Here is a 15,343-nt window from a genome sequence, read left to right as displayed (position 1 = left end):
TACTATATTAATCACCCACCATGGACATCCCATCAGCCTGCTGCTACACAGTGCTGACATGTATTTTATTAGCCAGCTGTAGCATTCCAGATATATTTTTCCAGGCATACTTAGGTTAAAAAGTTCAGTATCTTAAGTAGCATTGGAAATCTTATTAATGAGTTTTACAGCATTGTTGAGGAAGATAAAGATGAAACAGTTTCTGCAGTCCTCCAAAATTCTAAATGTTGCATTTACCTGAGTGGACAAGGTCACAGAGCTAGTCATCACTTGAATCCAGGCCTTCTAATTCCAAATCTAGAACAATTTATTTTATACTTAACAAGTTTTCATTTTCTAACATGTATTTTTAGATGAAAACATGCAGATGTAAACCTTTTATATGGTAGCATAATTCTTCATTTTTCTTTTTCAGATAATACTAAATACACATATACCCCAGGATGCCCAATTTTTTACTGCTTACAAGATATTATGCGAGTCTGTAGTGAATCCAGTACTCATTTTGCTACACTTACAGCAAGGATGTTAATAGCCTTGGATAAGTAAGAAATGCCGTTAGAAGTATCTTTTAATTAATCAAATACATGTTTATAGTAGAAATTAGTTGTCATAGATACAGACACTTTGAGAAGAAAATAATGAAAATAATATATGTATTAAAAAATGGTAAGTTTTTCAATTCTAATATAAAAATGAAAAACCCGAAGATAAGGTTGTCCTGGCCTGGGTACAGCATGTTAATTTTATTTTTCAGAAATGGTAAACACTGCCCTGGCTTAAGAATTAAGATTTACCTGTTATGAAACTATACATTTAATATTGAGTTACTCTTATCAGTGAAGAAGTCATTCAACCTCTTATGCCTTTGTCTTTCTGTAAGAACAGGGCTAATGTCACCTACATCTCAGTAGTTTGAATTTTAACAGTACTTTTATGTTTTTTGAAAGGAGTTTTTATTACTATAATGGCACATACATTTAAAAAATTTATTTGCTGTATCCATTAACAAAACTTTTATTAATAAATGAAGTATTTGTATACTGACTTGATCTTTATAGATCATATGAACATATTATCACATGTGCCCCTAAAGTATGTACAGTATTATGCATGTTTTTTTGTTAAAAAAATCAATTTGCAATATAAATAAATTTTAAAAATAATAAAGTACTTAACTAACACTAAATTAAAATTATAAAAATCTGAAGGTAATATTCACAAGTGTCATATATCAGAGTTAGATAGTAATCTATCTTTTTCATCTTCACTTTCGAATGGCTACTTCTACCTGTTTTTTTATTTTGCCAGGTGGTTAGATGAACGTCATGCACAATCTCACTTTATTCCAGCTTTATTCCGACCTTCTCCTCTTGAGCGGATAAAAACTAATGTCATAAATCCTGCATATGCTACTGAATCAGGTCAGACAGAAAACTCACTACATATGGGCTATAGTGCACTAGAAATAAAGAGTAAAATGTTAGCCCTAGAGAAAGCAGATACCTGTATTTACAACCCTTTGTTTGGATCAGATCTTCAGTATACAAATCGGGTAAGAGTTGAATGAATTTTAGCTCTGATTTAAAAGACGTTTTATCTCAAGTGTAATTTTTTTTCCTGAGATATATACATCTATTACTAATTATAAACATGAAGGCCTGGTACAGTGGCTCACGCCTGTAATCCCAGCACTTTGGGAGGCCAAGGAGGGCAGATTGCCTGAGGTCAGGAGTTCGAGACCAGCCTGGCCAACATGGTGAAATCTCGTCTCTACTAAAAATACAAAAATTAGCTGGATGTGGTGGCGTACCCCTGTAGTCTTAGCTACCCCGGAGACTGAGGCAGGAGAATCGCTTGAACCTGGGAGGCGGAGGTTGCAGTGTGCTGAGATCGCAGCACTGAACTCCAGCCTGGGCAACAGAGCAAGACTCATTCTCAATAAATAAATAAGTAAAAATTTAAAATATAAACATGTAAACATTAAGATGACAAAGCTCTTAATGGGTTTTTGTTATTGTTTTCCCTTTCTAGGTAGATAAAGTGGTAATAAATCCATACTTTGGTCTAGGAGCTCCAGACTACTCAAAAATCCAAATACCTAAACAGGAAAAATGGCAGAGAAGCATGAGCAGTGTCACAGAAGACAAGTACTGTTTCGGTTTTACTCCACATTGCTTTTATAAAAACTTACATTCTAATTTAAAGTATTGTTTAAAATTATATATGCAATTTGTATGCATTGTAGTCACTATTGAGTTTACAGCTTCTTAGTGATACAGAGCTTTCATAGATGTGTCACATTTCTTTTGAAACAATTTTTACAGTCCTGTTGTATTTTTCAAAATTTCTTTTTAATGATTAGGGAACGACAGTGGGTAGATGATTTTCCTCTCCACCGAAGCGCCTGTGAAGGAGATTCAGAATTACTAAGCCGTCTTCTCAGTGAAAGATTTTCAGTCAACCAGTTAGATAGTGACCACTGGGCACCCATTCATTATGCATGCTGGTAAATGGAATATTTATTCTTTTCTTTTTAGAAAGAATACATTTTTTATTATAAATGTTAGTCCTTCTTTTCAAGACTGTTCTCATTCCAAATACTTTTTCTCTACCTGTTTGCCTTAGGAGTTTTCTGTTTTGATCTTAGATGATTGTATATGTGCCAATGTTCAGAATTGTAAGGTCTGCCCTATGGGGAACGTACTGTTAGTGTCCTTAGGCATTGCCAGGTCATATAGTAGGATACTTAATGACTAGTAAATGTCACTGTAGAGTACAAGGTCACTTATTCACCCTTGCAGTTTCTCTTGTTTTGCAGTTTCTCTTGTTTTGTATTGGGATTATGTTATGCTTATCTTTACTGGAAGTTTGCATGTGTTAACTACTTACGATTTGACCTTGCGTCTTGCTATAAAAGTATCCTTTTAGTGCTTTGAGAAACTGGTTATCAAGAAGCCCTCAAAAGCCTTCATTAGAACCACAGCTTTCCATTATGTTAGATACTAGTGTTGGGACAGGATTGGGGTTAGCTCTTTCCACTAGTTGCCCAGTGTAGCTCTTGGTCTCCTCTCACATAATTATTTTTCCCCTCAGTTGGGCTGAGTTGTTAGTGTTTAGAGTAGTAGTTAACTGTTTACTATAAGTCATCTTCTAGAAAGGATATAATAAAGTTTTTTACATTATTTCTGTGGGAAAGTTGCTCTTCACCTATTGTTTAAAGTAAGCTTCCTTGGCTAATTTAAGAGGTACCGGCCAGGTGCAGTGGCTCACACCTGTAATCCCAGCACTTTGGGAGGCCGAGGCAGGTGGATCACGAGGTCAGGAGATCAAGACCATCCTGGCTAACATGGTGAAACCCCGTCTCCACTAAAAATACAAAAATTAGCCGGGCGTGGTGGTGCACGCCTGTAATCCCAGCTACTTGGGAGGCTGAGGCAGGAGAATAGCTTGAACCAGGGAGGCAGAGATTACAGTGAGCTGAGATTGCACCACCGCACTCCAGCCTGGTGACAGAGTGAGATTCCATTTCAAAAAAAAAAAAAAAAGTACCACATTATTTATTGCCTTGTTAAATGTCCACAGTGTCTTAGTTGTATTAGATTGAGCAAGGTAATTCACTTTACCTCTCTGCATCTCAGCTTATTTATCCATATATAAAATGCAGTAGATCATTTCTAGAGTTTCTTCCAACTCGAAATTCTTTTGATTTATCTGATTTTAATATTTGTAATCAAGCAGTTAACTATAGTTGCTTTATATGTGTGTGTGTGTGTGTGTGTGTGTGTGTGTGTGTATAAAAAGATCTTTTTTCTGTTTCCTTAAAAATATGCTCTTATATTTCTTATTACATGGAATTTTTGTATTAAGAGTTACTCTAATTGTCTTTAACTGAGTTAATAGTTGTTTCTTTAGATTACCAGAAAATACTGGCGGCAAAAACAATACTAAAAGAAATCACATGCAGCCGGGTGCAGTGGCTCACACCTGTAATCCCAGCACTTTGGGAGGCCAAGGTGGGCGGATCACGAGGTCAGGAGGTTGAGACCATCCTGGCTAACACCATGAAATCCCGTCTCTATTAAATATACAAAAAATTAGCCGGGTGTGGTGGCGGGTGCCTGTAGTCCCAGCTACTTGGGAGGCTGAGGCAGGAGAATGGTGTGAACCCGCGAGGCGGAGCTTGCAGTGAGCTGAGATCACGCCACTGCACTCCAGCCTGGGCAACACAGTGAGACTCCATCTCAAAAAAAAGGAAAAAAAGAAATCACATGCTTTACCAGGAGCTAAATAAAAAGAGGTAGAGAATATAGTTCAGATTCCAAAAAAGTATACTATAGATTTGGAAAAGGCAAAGGCAGTGAATTTTAGTTGAGGAATCCCAAGTTTATATTTGACTGTATAGTTGCTCCTTTTTGTGGCAGGGGTGTTTTTTTTTTTTTCCCCCTCTAATGAAAGAATGGTAATATTTTCAACTATTACATAAAAACAAAAGCATGGCATTGTATTTAATATGCTTTGGAATGTACCTATGTTTCAGTACCATTTTTAGTTCCTAAAATATTACCTTTGGTAAGTTACTTTATGTCTCTAAGGGTCTGTTTCTTTATCTATACGAGATGGGCTTAAAAATGGTACCTTCCCTAATAGTAAAAGAAAAATTACAAGTAACGTGCTTTGAGAGCACATAATGAGCACTCAATAAATCTTGGCTTTTAAGAATAAGTGTTGGCCGGGTGTAGTGGCCCACACCTGTAATCCCAGCACTTTGGAAGGCCAAGAAGGGCAGATGACTGGAAGTCAGGAGTTTGAGACCAGCCTGCCCTGGTGAAACTCTGTCTCTACTGAAAATACAAAAATTAGCTGGGCGTGGTGGCAGGCACCTGTAATCCCAGCTGCTCGGGAGGCTGAGGCAGGAGAATCGCTTGAGCCCAGGAGGTGGAGGTTGCAGTGTACTGAGATCCCACCACCGCACTCCAGCCTGGGCGACTGAGTGAGACTACATCTCAAAAAATAAAATAAAAAAATAAATATTGTAAAAATGTAAAGATTTTGATGTCTGAATCTAAAATTTATTAATCTGTAATATTTTCATTTGCAAATTTTTGTTACTTGAGTATGCCAAGGAAAAGAGTTTTATACTTGGATAAATTAATTTTCTGTCAGCTTGATAATCAAGTTTAATGTAACAGGAGTAGTATGGGTCACCTTGCAATACTATTAGTTGGATGCCTCATTTAATTGACGTGAATTCAAATAATGATTTAACTATTCAGTAAAGAACTTAAATTTATCTTGGAAGTATACTCTTATTCACTAATTGGTACAAAGACCGAGGAGGGGACACTGGGCTCTTGACTGTGATACAGTGAAGAGACTAGGGTTTAGTCCTATTTTTGTAAGACAAGATATTTTACCTCACTTGGTCTCATTTCTCACCTTTAAAATGAGGGTTTTAATTAGATTAGTGGTTCTCAAACTTTTGGGTCTCAGGATACTTTTTTACTCTTAACAGTTACAGGATTCCCAAGAGTTTTTGTTTATGTGGATTAAATCCAGTGTTAAGATATTAGAAATAGAAACTGAAAAATATTCCATGTGTATTAAAAATAACAATACCTATATATGTTAACATAACACAATTTAATGAAAAAAATAAGAGTTTAAAATTCAAGATTGGTAGCCAGACATGTAAAAACCATTCTTTACTTTCTAGAATCATCATTTTCCCAAAATATTTAAAATGGCTTTAACCCCTTGTAGAGAACTTAACAGCCACTCAGTAAATGTCTCACTGACATTTCATATTCTCTCACTTCTTTATTCTTCCCGTACCCCTATGCCAGACCCTCTATTTTGAATCAAATCAGTGTCTTCTTTCTCTGATAGTACTTTCAGACTTCAGATCATTGTTAGTGTTTTTCAAACTGTGATGATTTGGCTTCCTACAAATTATTTCATCCAATTTCACTTGGAGCTTCACTGTATATTAGCTATCTGTACTCTTTGTTTCATTCAGCCTTTTAGTCCTCCCCTTCCAAGCTATTCTAAACGTTTCTACTCCTAAGTACTTAAACTTTCACTACTTTCTTTTTCTACTTTCATAATCCCTATACTCCTTTTTGCCCCCTATTTTCAAAGAAAATTTAAGGCGTCAGAAATGTTCTTCTCTATCCCTAATGATCACTTTTTGTCCCCATCTCTCTCCTGTATCATAGGGTATACACATAAAAATTCTTCTTATTCCCCTTAAATTCACTTTTCTTTTTCCACACCTACTTTCTTCTTTCCCTCAAACATGCATGATTCTCTTCCTTCTTGAAAGTTGCTTTCACCTGAACCTACTTCTTTTAGCTACCATCCTGTTTCTTTCCTTCCTTTCACAGCCAGATTTCAAAGGTGAGTGGGAGACACACTCTGCTTTCTCTTTTTCACTCTTCATAAACCTTAACTTTTTCTGAGTTTTTGATCTGTTTCCCTGCTCTGCAGCATTTAATTCTTGACTACTTTTCATTTTAAGAACAAATAGGAGTTGAAAGAGCATAATGGAGCTATAATGAAGGTCAGTAAAAATGCAAGGTATTATTGATATCTTATCATTGCTGTGGAAACACTCACTGGCCTCCATTCTGTGATCCAGACCTGTGTCTTAGTAGTAGTACTACTAAGATTCAGAAAACTGGCTTCTAACTCTGGCTAGTCACCATGAGACGTTGGGCAAGTTAGTTAACTGCATCAAGCTCCATTTTTCTCATCTGTGCAATAAAAAAGTACCTCTGCCTACTTTATAAATTTCTATGATTATATTAAATAATTATATAAGAAGGTAGCTGGGAAATTTTAAAGCACCATACAAAATGTATGTTTGTATTATTTTTATTATTACTTCTCGAATTGCTACCTCACTATCTTTTCCCTTTTAGATGTATTTCAGTGTTCTAAGGTGATCACATTTCTCTAAATTCATTCTCAGATTTCATCCATTCTTTCAGACCATTTAATTCTTTTCAGTGAGATGATTTTACATATTCTCAAATAGATACTCTAAGCCTTTGCCTTCCCCTAAGTAGTTTCAAGTTGCCTACTAAACATTTCAGTCACTTATCTTTTGTATGTAGGGCACTTTGGAGAATATAAAGACACTGTCCCTATCCTCAAGGAGCTTCCAGGCTGATAGAGAAGAGGTGTGGATAAACAAGGATGGAATTAGGTAGAATGAAATAAGTCACAAAAAAGAAGCAAAAATAGAATGCTAAAACATAGTGGGAATATAGAGAAGATAGATTTTAAACCGTTTCAGAGGCATAATGGAATTTAACCTGAACGAAATCAGGAAGGGGGAAAGGATGTCTTAAGAATAGCAAAGAATATTGTGGCTTTGATTTGCATTTCTCTAATGATCAGTGATATTGAGCTTTTTTTCATATGTCTCTTGGCTGCTTGTATGTCTTCTTTAGAAAAGTATCTATTAATGTATTTTACCCACTTTTTAATGGGGTGGTTTTTTCTTGTAAATTTGTTAAGTTTCTTATAGGTGCTGGATATTAGACTTCTGTCAGATGCATAGTTTGCAAATATTGTCTCCCATTCTGTAGGTTGTCTGTGTACTCTGTTGATAGTTTCTTTTGCTGTGCAGAGCAGCTGTTTAGTTTAAGTACCATCTCACACCAGTCAGAATGGCTATGATTAAAAAGTCATAAAAATAACAGATACTGGCAAGGTTGCAGAGAAAGGGAACGCTTATATACTGTTGGTGGGAGTGTAAATTAGTTCAACCATTGTGAAAAGCAGTATGGCAATTCCTCAAAGAGCTAAAAACAGAACTCCCATTTGACCTAGCAATCCCATTACTGTGTATATACCCAGAGGAATATAAATCATTTTGCCATAAAGACACATGCACACACATGGAATGTTCATTCCAGCACTATTCACAATAGCAAAGACATAGAATCAATCTAAAGGTCCATGATAACAGATTGGTTAAAGAAAATGTGGTATGTATACATCATGGAATACTATGCAGCCAGAAAAAAGAACAAGATCTTGTCTTTGCAGGACCATGGATGGAGCTGGAGACCATTATTTTTAGCAAACTAATGCAGGAACAGAAAATGCCACGTGTTCCCACTTATACGTGGGAGCTGAATGATGAGGACTCATGAGCACAAAAAAGGGAACAGCAAATACTGGGGCCTCCTTGAGGGTGGAAGCTGGGAGGAGGGAGAGGAGCGGAAAAAATAATTATTGGGTACTAGGCTTAGTACCTGGGTGGTGAAATAATCTGTACGACACACCCCCATGACAAGAATTTACCTATGTAACAAACCCGCACATGTACCCCAGAGTCTAAAATAAAAGTTAAAAAAAGAATAGCAAAACCTGAGCAAAACAAATCACCTGAGTAAAACAAATCACCTGAGTAAGGTGTAGGATGAAAGTGTCTGATTTGGAGTATAGAAAAGACATAGTATTTGTGAAGGGGAAGAAAGGAAAAACAGATGGAAAATCAGTTCTAAAAATGGGCTGTTTTCCCCTCAGATGTTCCATATCTAAAACCAAAACCAAGTTTCCATTCCTCCTCCCACCTCACCCTCTTATTTCCACACAACAAATTACTTTCTACCCTTGCTTCAGAGTGCAGCCTTACATAAGTCTTTGGCTGTAACCAAGAGGTTGACTCACTGTGTGCGTATGCATTGTACTCTTCTGAGACCTTTGCTTACTCCTTTTCTGTCTACCTAAAATATTTTACTTCTCTTCAACATCTCTTCAGTTCTTTCCTATTTAAAAATTCAGTTCAGGCTGGGCATGGTGGCCCACGCCTCTAATCCCACCACTTTGGGAGGCTGAGGCAGGTGGATCATTTGAGCCCAGGAGTTAGAGGCCAGGTTGGGCAACATGGCCAAACCCTGTCTTCCCACCTCCCCGCCGCAACCCCCACTGAGACGGAGTCTTGCTCTGTCACCCAGCCTCGAGTGCAATGGCGCGATCTCTGGCTCACTGCAACCTCCGCCTCCTGGGTTCAAGTGATTCTCCTGCCTCAGCCTCCATAGTAGCTGGGATTACAGGTGTCTGCCACCACACCCAGCTAATTTTTGTATTTTTAATAGAGACAGGGTTTCACCATGTTGGCCAGGCTGGTCTCGAACTCCTGACCTTGTGATCCACCCACCTCGGCCTCCCAAAGTGTTGGGATTATAGGCATGAGCCACCACGCCTGGCCGAAACCCCATCTTTACTAAAGACACAAAAATTAGCTGGGCGTGGTGGCGCATGCCTGTAATCCCAGCTACTTGGGAGGCTGAGACACGAGAATCTCTTGAACCCAGGAGGCAGACATTACAGTGAGCTGAGATTGCACCACTGCACTCCAGCCTGGGCATAGAGTGAGACTCAGTCTCAAAAACAGTAACATTCAATTCAAATTGTTCTTCTATCAGAGCACTTTACAGGACCATCTAGACTGAAATCATATCTCTTGTTTTCTGGAATTATATCTCTGGAGCTGGGATTACAGGCGTGCGCCACAATGCCCGCCTAATTTTTGTATTTTTAGTAGAGATGGGGTTTCACCATGTTGGTTAGGCTGGTCTCGAGCTCCTGACCTTGTGATCCGCCTGCCTCTGCCTCCCAAAGTGCTGGGATTATAGGTGTGAGTCACTGCGCCCAGCCTCTGATATTTTTTAAAGCATGGACAAACATTACCATACTTAAATTTTACAGCATTATGTAACTTATCCCATGTTTATGTTTTGCCTCAAATTACACTGTAAACCATTCAGGGTAGAGACCACATATTTTATACATGTTTGTCTCTTTCACATTGTCTAATATAGCAACTGTGTATAGAATTACATCTTTGGGCCTATTTTGTAAACAGCCGGGCCTAAGTGAAAAGCATTCTTACTAAGTTTTCTTATATGAGTTACTTTCTGTTTCTGAAACTATATTTGACTAAAAATTGTATCTAACCTTTGTAGTACACATGGGATGTTTCTCTGTCGTCTGCTCTATCTTGTATTTGAGGTTATATTTTCTTCCAGTTTATCAGAAATAGAAACAGTTTAATTGAACCAGAATAATTAATAAGAAACCCCTAATCATTGAAAACATTATGTCAGTATCTTAATAATCCTTTGCTCTCTGTCCTAGAAAATTCTTAGATTTCTTTGAGATATCATCTAAAATTTGGATTTTTAAAAACATTTCAGATGATCTTTTTAGGTAAGTTTTTTTTGTTGTTGTTTTTTGTTTGTTTGTTTTTTTATACAGGTATGGAAAAGTTGAGGCCACTCGCATATTGTTAGAGAAAGGAAAGTGCAATCCAAACCTTTTAAATGGACAACTTAGTTCTCCTCTTCATTTTGCTGCTGGAGGAGGACATGCTGAAATAGTACAGATTCTCCTAAACCACCCAGAAACGGATAGAGTAAGTTATTTTCCAGGTTTTTAAAAATAATATTCAAGCAGTGAATAACAAGTAATGACACTAAAATGTTAAATTGTATGTTTGAGAGTTCATCTGAAAAATAAAAATAAATTCCATTACTTTATAGAATAAGTAACGGAATATATGAGTTGTACTTTGTAGAATAAATAATGGAATATATGTGTTGTGCTTTTGAACATATTTTTTTTTTAGATTTTTTAAATACACCTCGCCTAAAATTTACATTAACTATTTTTAGGCGTACAGTTCAGTGGCATTAAGTACATTTATATCACCACAGTCTGTCTTCAGAATGTATGTAGAATTTAACCTCTTTTCATTTTATATTGTATTTCTCCAAAAACATCTTGAAAAAGGAAAAAGATTTTCCAGAATTTCATAAAGGAAATTCATAAAAAGGAATATCATAAAGAGGAAAATAATAGTATTAAAACTTTTATTATGTCTGTATCAGAACTTTTAAAAAAACAGTCATCACATTGATTAGTGCTTTGAGTCTTTTATCTTGGCAACTCTTGTTTATTCTAAACATAATACATACCAAGTGTGGTTAATATTTACTTTAGTACTTGACAAGAGTCTCTTTTTTATGAAACTGTGATTAATTGGATGACATTTTCCCTTAGAATACCATAATATGTAATGCCTTTTTTCCCCCTCCCCACCCACATTTCTAGCATATAACAGACCAACAAGGAAGATCTCCATTAAATATTTGTGAAGAAAACAAACAAAACAACTGGGAAGAAGCTGCAAAATTGTTGAAGGAAGCAATTAACAAACCAGTAAGAATTATCTTCATAGTTAGAGCCAGGCATAGTATTTAAATTAATAAGATTTAAATTTGAGGATCTGTGGCAAGAGTGGAAAGACGATTAGATGGCTTCTTTACTGCTATAAAACCTCATTGTAGGCCAGGTATGGTGGCTCACACCTGTAATCCCAGAACTTTGGGAGGCTGAGGCAGGCAGATCACAAGGTCAAGAGATCCAGACATGGTGAAACCCCATCTCTATGAAAAATACAAAAATCAGCTGGGCATGGTGGCGTGCACCTGTAGTCCCAGCTACTCAGGAGGCTGAGACAGGAGAATTGCTTGAACCCAGGAGGTGGAGGTTGCAGTGAGCCAAGATTGTGCCACTGTACTCCAGCCTTGGCGACGGAGCAAGACTTCATCTCAAACAAACAAACAAAAAACCTCATTGTAGACTGCATTATCCCTAACATTTGGACATTTATTCTTGCATAACAAAATAAAACTTGCAAAAATAAGTAAATAAAACTTTCAAAACACTTAAAATTTTCATATAATTTCTATGCTTGATGTGTTGATTACACATAATTTTTTTTTTGAGATGGAGTCTCGCTCTGTCACCCAGGCTGGAATACAATGGCGCGATCTCAGCTCACCGCAACCTCTGCCTCCCAGGTTCAAGCAGTTATCCTCAGCCTCCCGAGTAGCTGGGATTACGTGCGCCTGCCACCACGCCCGGCTAATTTTTTGTAATTTTAGTAGAGATGGGGTTTCACTGTTAGCTAGGATGGTCTCGATCACCTGACCTCGTGATCCTCCCACCTCAGCCTCCCAAAGTGCTGGGATTACAGGCGTGAACCACCACGCCCAGCCTGATTACACGTAATTTTAATCTATTCATTGTCACATATCCCTATACTTAGGTCTCTTAAGCAACATTTTATATTTTTAAATGAAAGCATTGCACATCATTCAGTCTCAGCAAGTTAGTTTATATATAACAGACTCATTTTCCTCCTCATAAAAGTAAAATAGGTGTTTCCAAGCTTTTTTATTCTGCTAACTCAACCTGGCCTTTCCATCTAATTACAACTGGAAATAAACTCATAAATCGAAAATGCTGGCATACATAGCTATTAAAATAATAATTTTATTTAGAGGCATAAAGCTCAAATTAGTGACATTAAAATACAGAAGAATTAACAATGAGAAGAAACTCAATTATGCCTAAGAGTTATAATGATTATAAAAATTATTAATTTAATTATTTTTATTTTTATGAGACAGGGTCTCACTATGTTGCCCAGGCTGGAGTACAGTGGCTATTCACAGACAATCGTGATGCACTGCAGCCTCAACCTTCTAGGCTTAGGCCGTCCTCCCACCTCAGCCTCTTGAGTAGCTGGGACTACAGACGTGCCACCGCTCCTGGCTGTCATTAGTTTAAAAACTGTTTGAAATAAAAAGATTTATACCAACAAATAAAGGATAAAGGGTTTATACTAACAGATATAACCCATTTACCTAAGCCTCTCCAGGCATTAACCAACAACTATGCAATAAGTATTTGTTGAGTATCTCTTTGGATTTAACATGACAAAGTGCTGAAAATTAGAAGGAATATATGGTCTCTGCCTTTAATGTTACACACATACCACACACGCACGCATTTTGTCAAAACACTTACTCCAAGAGCATAAGACAGAGTCAAGGAAATAGACAAGCAGTACAGGTACCCTTATGTTATACTTCATTGCAATTTATTTTCTAACTATGTAGTGTTAACTCATTTTTATCCCTGATATAATTTTTATATTGTGAATGAATAAGGTAGGAGGGGTGAAGTTCTTTTATCCAAAGTGAACTGGCCTGGAAGTTATTTGGGGACATCAGTTACTTCCTATAACAATAAAAATCCATTGAGAATGCTACTACTTTCTGGAATTTTCTAAACTGGGGGAAGGAAACTGGCTCAAAGTTCATTGATAACTTTTACCTGCAAAGTGTTCCATCACAAATTCCTCTTAGGACAAGTTACTGGTGGTACACATTTCTGTTGTATTATATGTGACCCACTAGACTCGTGAAGTACTTGACGAACACTAGATTCAGTAACCAAGTTTGTATCTCTCGTTATGATATTTACATTACATTAAAGGCGCTAAAACATCCTGTCAAAAGAATTTGACATTGAGTATGTTTTTAAGTCATTCTCCTTAGTTTACTAAACTTATTTCTGGAACATCCAGAAGAAAATATTTTAGAAAATACAAGTAATGGAAGTAAAATTTTTTTTTTTTTTTTTTTTGAGATGGAGTCTTGCTCTGTCACCCAGGCTGGAGTGCAGTCGCGCAATCTCAGCTCACTGCAAGCTCCTCCCGGGGTTCACGCCATTCTCACGCCTCAGCCTCCTTAGTAGCTGGGACTACAGGTGCCTGCCACCACGCCCAGCTAATTTTTTTTTTTTTTTTTTTTTTGTATTTTTAGTAGAGACGGGGTTTCACCATGTTAGCCAGGATGGTCTCGAGCTCCTGACTTCGTGATCCGCCCGCCTCGGCCTCCCAAAGTGTTGGGATTATAGGCGTGAGCCACCGCGCCCGGCCAGTAAAATGTTTTTAAAATATCACCAACAGATTCTCACTTAAAACAGTGTTTCTGATATTTTTCATGTTAGAAATCTATAATAAAGCACATGAAGTTGAAGGAAAGTATCTTGTTAGATTGTGATGTATAATTTTTTAAGTTCGTTACGTAAGTTATCGTTTCTTGTAGTATGAAAAAGTTCGAATATACAGAATGGATGGGTCATATCGTTCTGTTGAATTGAAGCATGGAAATAATACCACAGTGCAGCAGATAATGGAAGGAATGCGTCTCTCTCAAGAAACTCAGCAATATTTCACTATATGGATTTGTTCAGAAAACCTCAGTAAGAAAGTTTTTATTATGTTATAGTAAACCTCATTATTCCTTTTTGGGAGTGGGTTGGTAGAAAATACAACTTCTTTTTATTCTTGACTCTTAAATTTTGAAATAATACAATGTTCTTCTCTTTTATATAAATTACTAGTGTTCAAACTGCTGAAACAGGTAAGTCCCTGCCCACCCCGTTCCCTGCTTCATTCAAAGCATTTTTTAATAATTAAAAAACAAAACTTTTCTTCTATGGCAATGGCATTTGATTTGAATGCCATTAAATGTTGTGCTAATGCAACTTGCCTTTATTTTTTGTGTTCATTTTGAAATAATACAAATGTTCTTTTCTCTTACATTAGTTTTCTATTTAAAATCAACCTTTTTATTTAAAATCAACCTAATGACTATATATTTGTTCTTCAAAGTATTACACATACATAAAGAATTTGATCGATGTGATTGGTTATTTAATGGCTTAGTTGTATCTTTTTAACTAGGAATTCTACTTATGTCATAATTAAATAGGCTATAATGGAATTAAGGATTTCATATACATTTGATAAATTTTATGTAAGAATTATTTTTAATAATTCTTATATTCTTGATAATAAGCAGTTAACCACAAATTGGGTAGTCATATTGATTAAAATGTTAATTTTAGATTTAAATTTAATTTGTGAGTATTCAGTACAGAAGTGCAGACAGTTTAATACAAAGTTTCTATGCATTGATATAATTGACTTTTTACATTATCATTTATAAAAGGAATGATGTTTTTCAGGCCTTCAACTCAAACCATATCATAAACCCTTGCAACATGTTCGTGACTGGCCAGAAATACTTGCTGAATTGACTAATCTGGATCCTCAAAGGGAAACACCTCAGCTTTTTCTAAGAAGAGATGTGAGACTTCCCTTGGAAGTTGAAAAACAGGTTTGCTTGGAAATCTTATTTACAGTTATTTAAATGCACAAAATCTGTTGAGTTTCTATTGTAAGCACTAGAGGCAGAAATTGTGCTTACATCCTTAAATCGATCCTTACATCCCTGTGATAATTGGCGGAGTTTCAGTTGATCTACTTACAAAGCCCTTGGTTGGGATTTTTCATTTCCACTCCCATTGTCTTAAGAATACAAAAGAAATAGGGAGCTATCCTAAAGAAAATTAGCAATCAGATGTGGAGCCAAATTATACAGGAAAAAAAATTGTTTAGACTAGT

General features: G+C 36.5%; 1 protein-coding gene across 34 annotated transcripts in view; it reads left to right on the top strand.

The window, feature by feature from the left end:
• KRIT1 (KRIT1 ankyrin repeat containing) overlaps window positions 1–15,343 on the top strand; it is a 47,132-nt gene that overhangs the window by 9,143 nt on the left and 22,646 nt on the right. For 30 of the 34 annotated variants that reach the window (NM_001350672.1, NM_001350676.1, NM_001350673.1 and 27 more), the window contains 8 exons: window positions 416–545; window positions 1,312–1,555; window positions 2,035–2,150; window positions 2,366–2,509; window positions 10,276–10,432; window positions 11,131–11,238; window positions 13,980–14,136; window positions 14,905–15,056. In NM_001350672.1, the coding sequence (NP_001337601.1) occupies window positions 416–545; window positions 1,312–1,555; window positions 2,035–2,150; window positions 2,366–2,509; window positions 10,276–10,432; window positions 11,131–11,238; window positions 13,980–14,136; window positions 14,905–15,056 (1,208 nt within the window). The remainder of the gene's footprint in view (window positions 1–415; window positions 546–1,311; window positions 1,556–2,034; window positions 2,151–2,365; window positions 2,510–10,275; window positions 10,433–11,130; window positions 11,239–13,979; window positions 14,137–14,904; window positions 15,057–15,343) is intronic. The other 4 variants (NM_001350669.1, NM_001013406.2, NM_001350670.1 and 1 more) reach the window with 2 other exon arrangements.

Source organism: Homo sapiens, chromosome 7 (assembly GCF_000001405.40).
Source record: "Homo sapiens chromosome 7, GRCh38.p14 Primary Assembly".
NCBI classification, from domain to species: domain Eukaryota; kingdom Metazoa; phylum Chordata; class Mammalia; order Primates; family Hominidae; genus Homo; species Homo sapiens.
The sequence above is the reverse complement of the archived record's forward strand: the minus strand, read 5'-3'. Positions and strand labels throughout refer to the sequence as shown.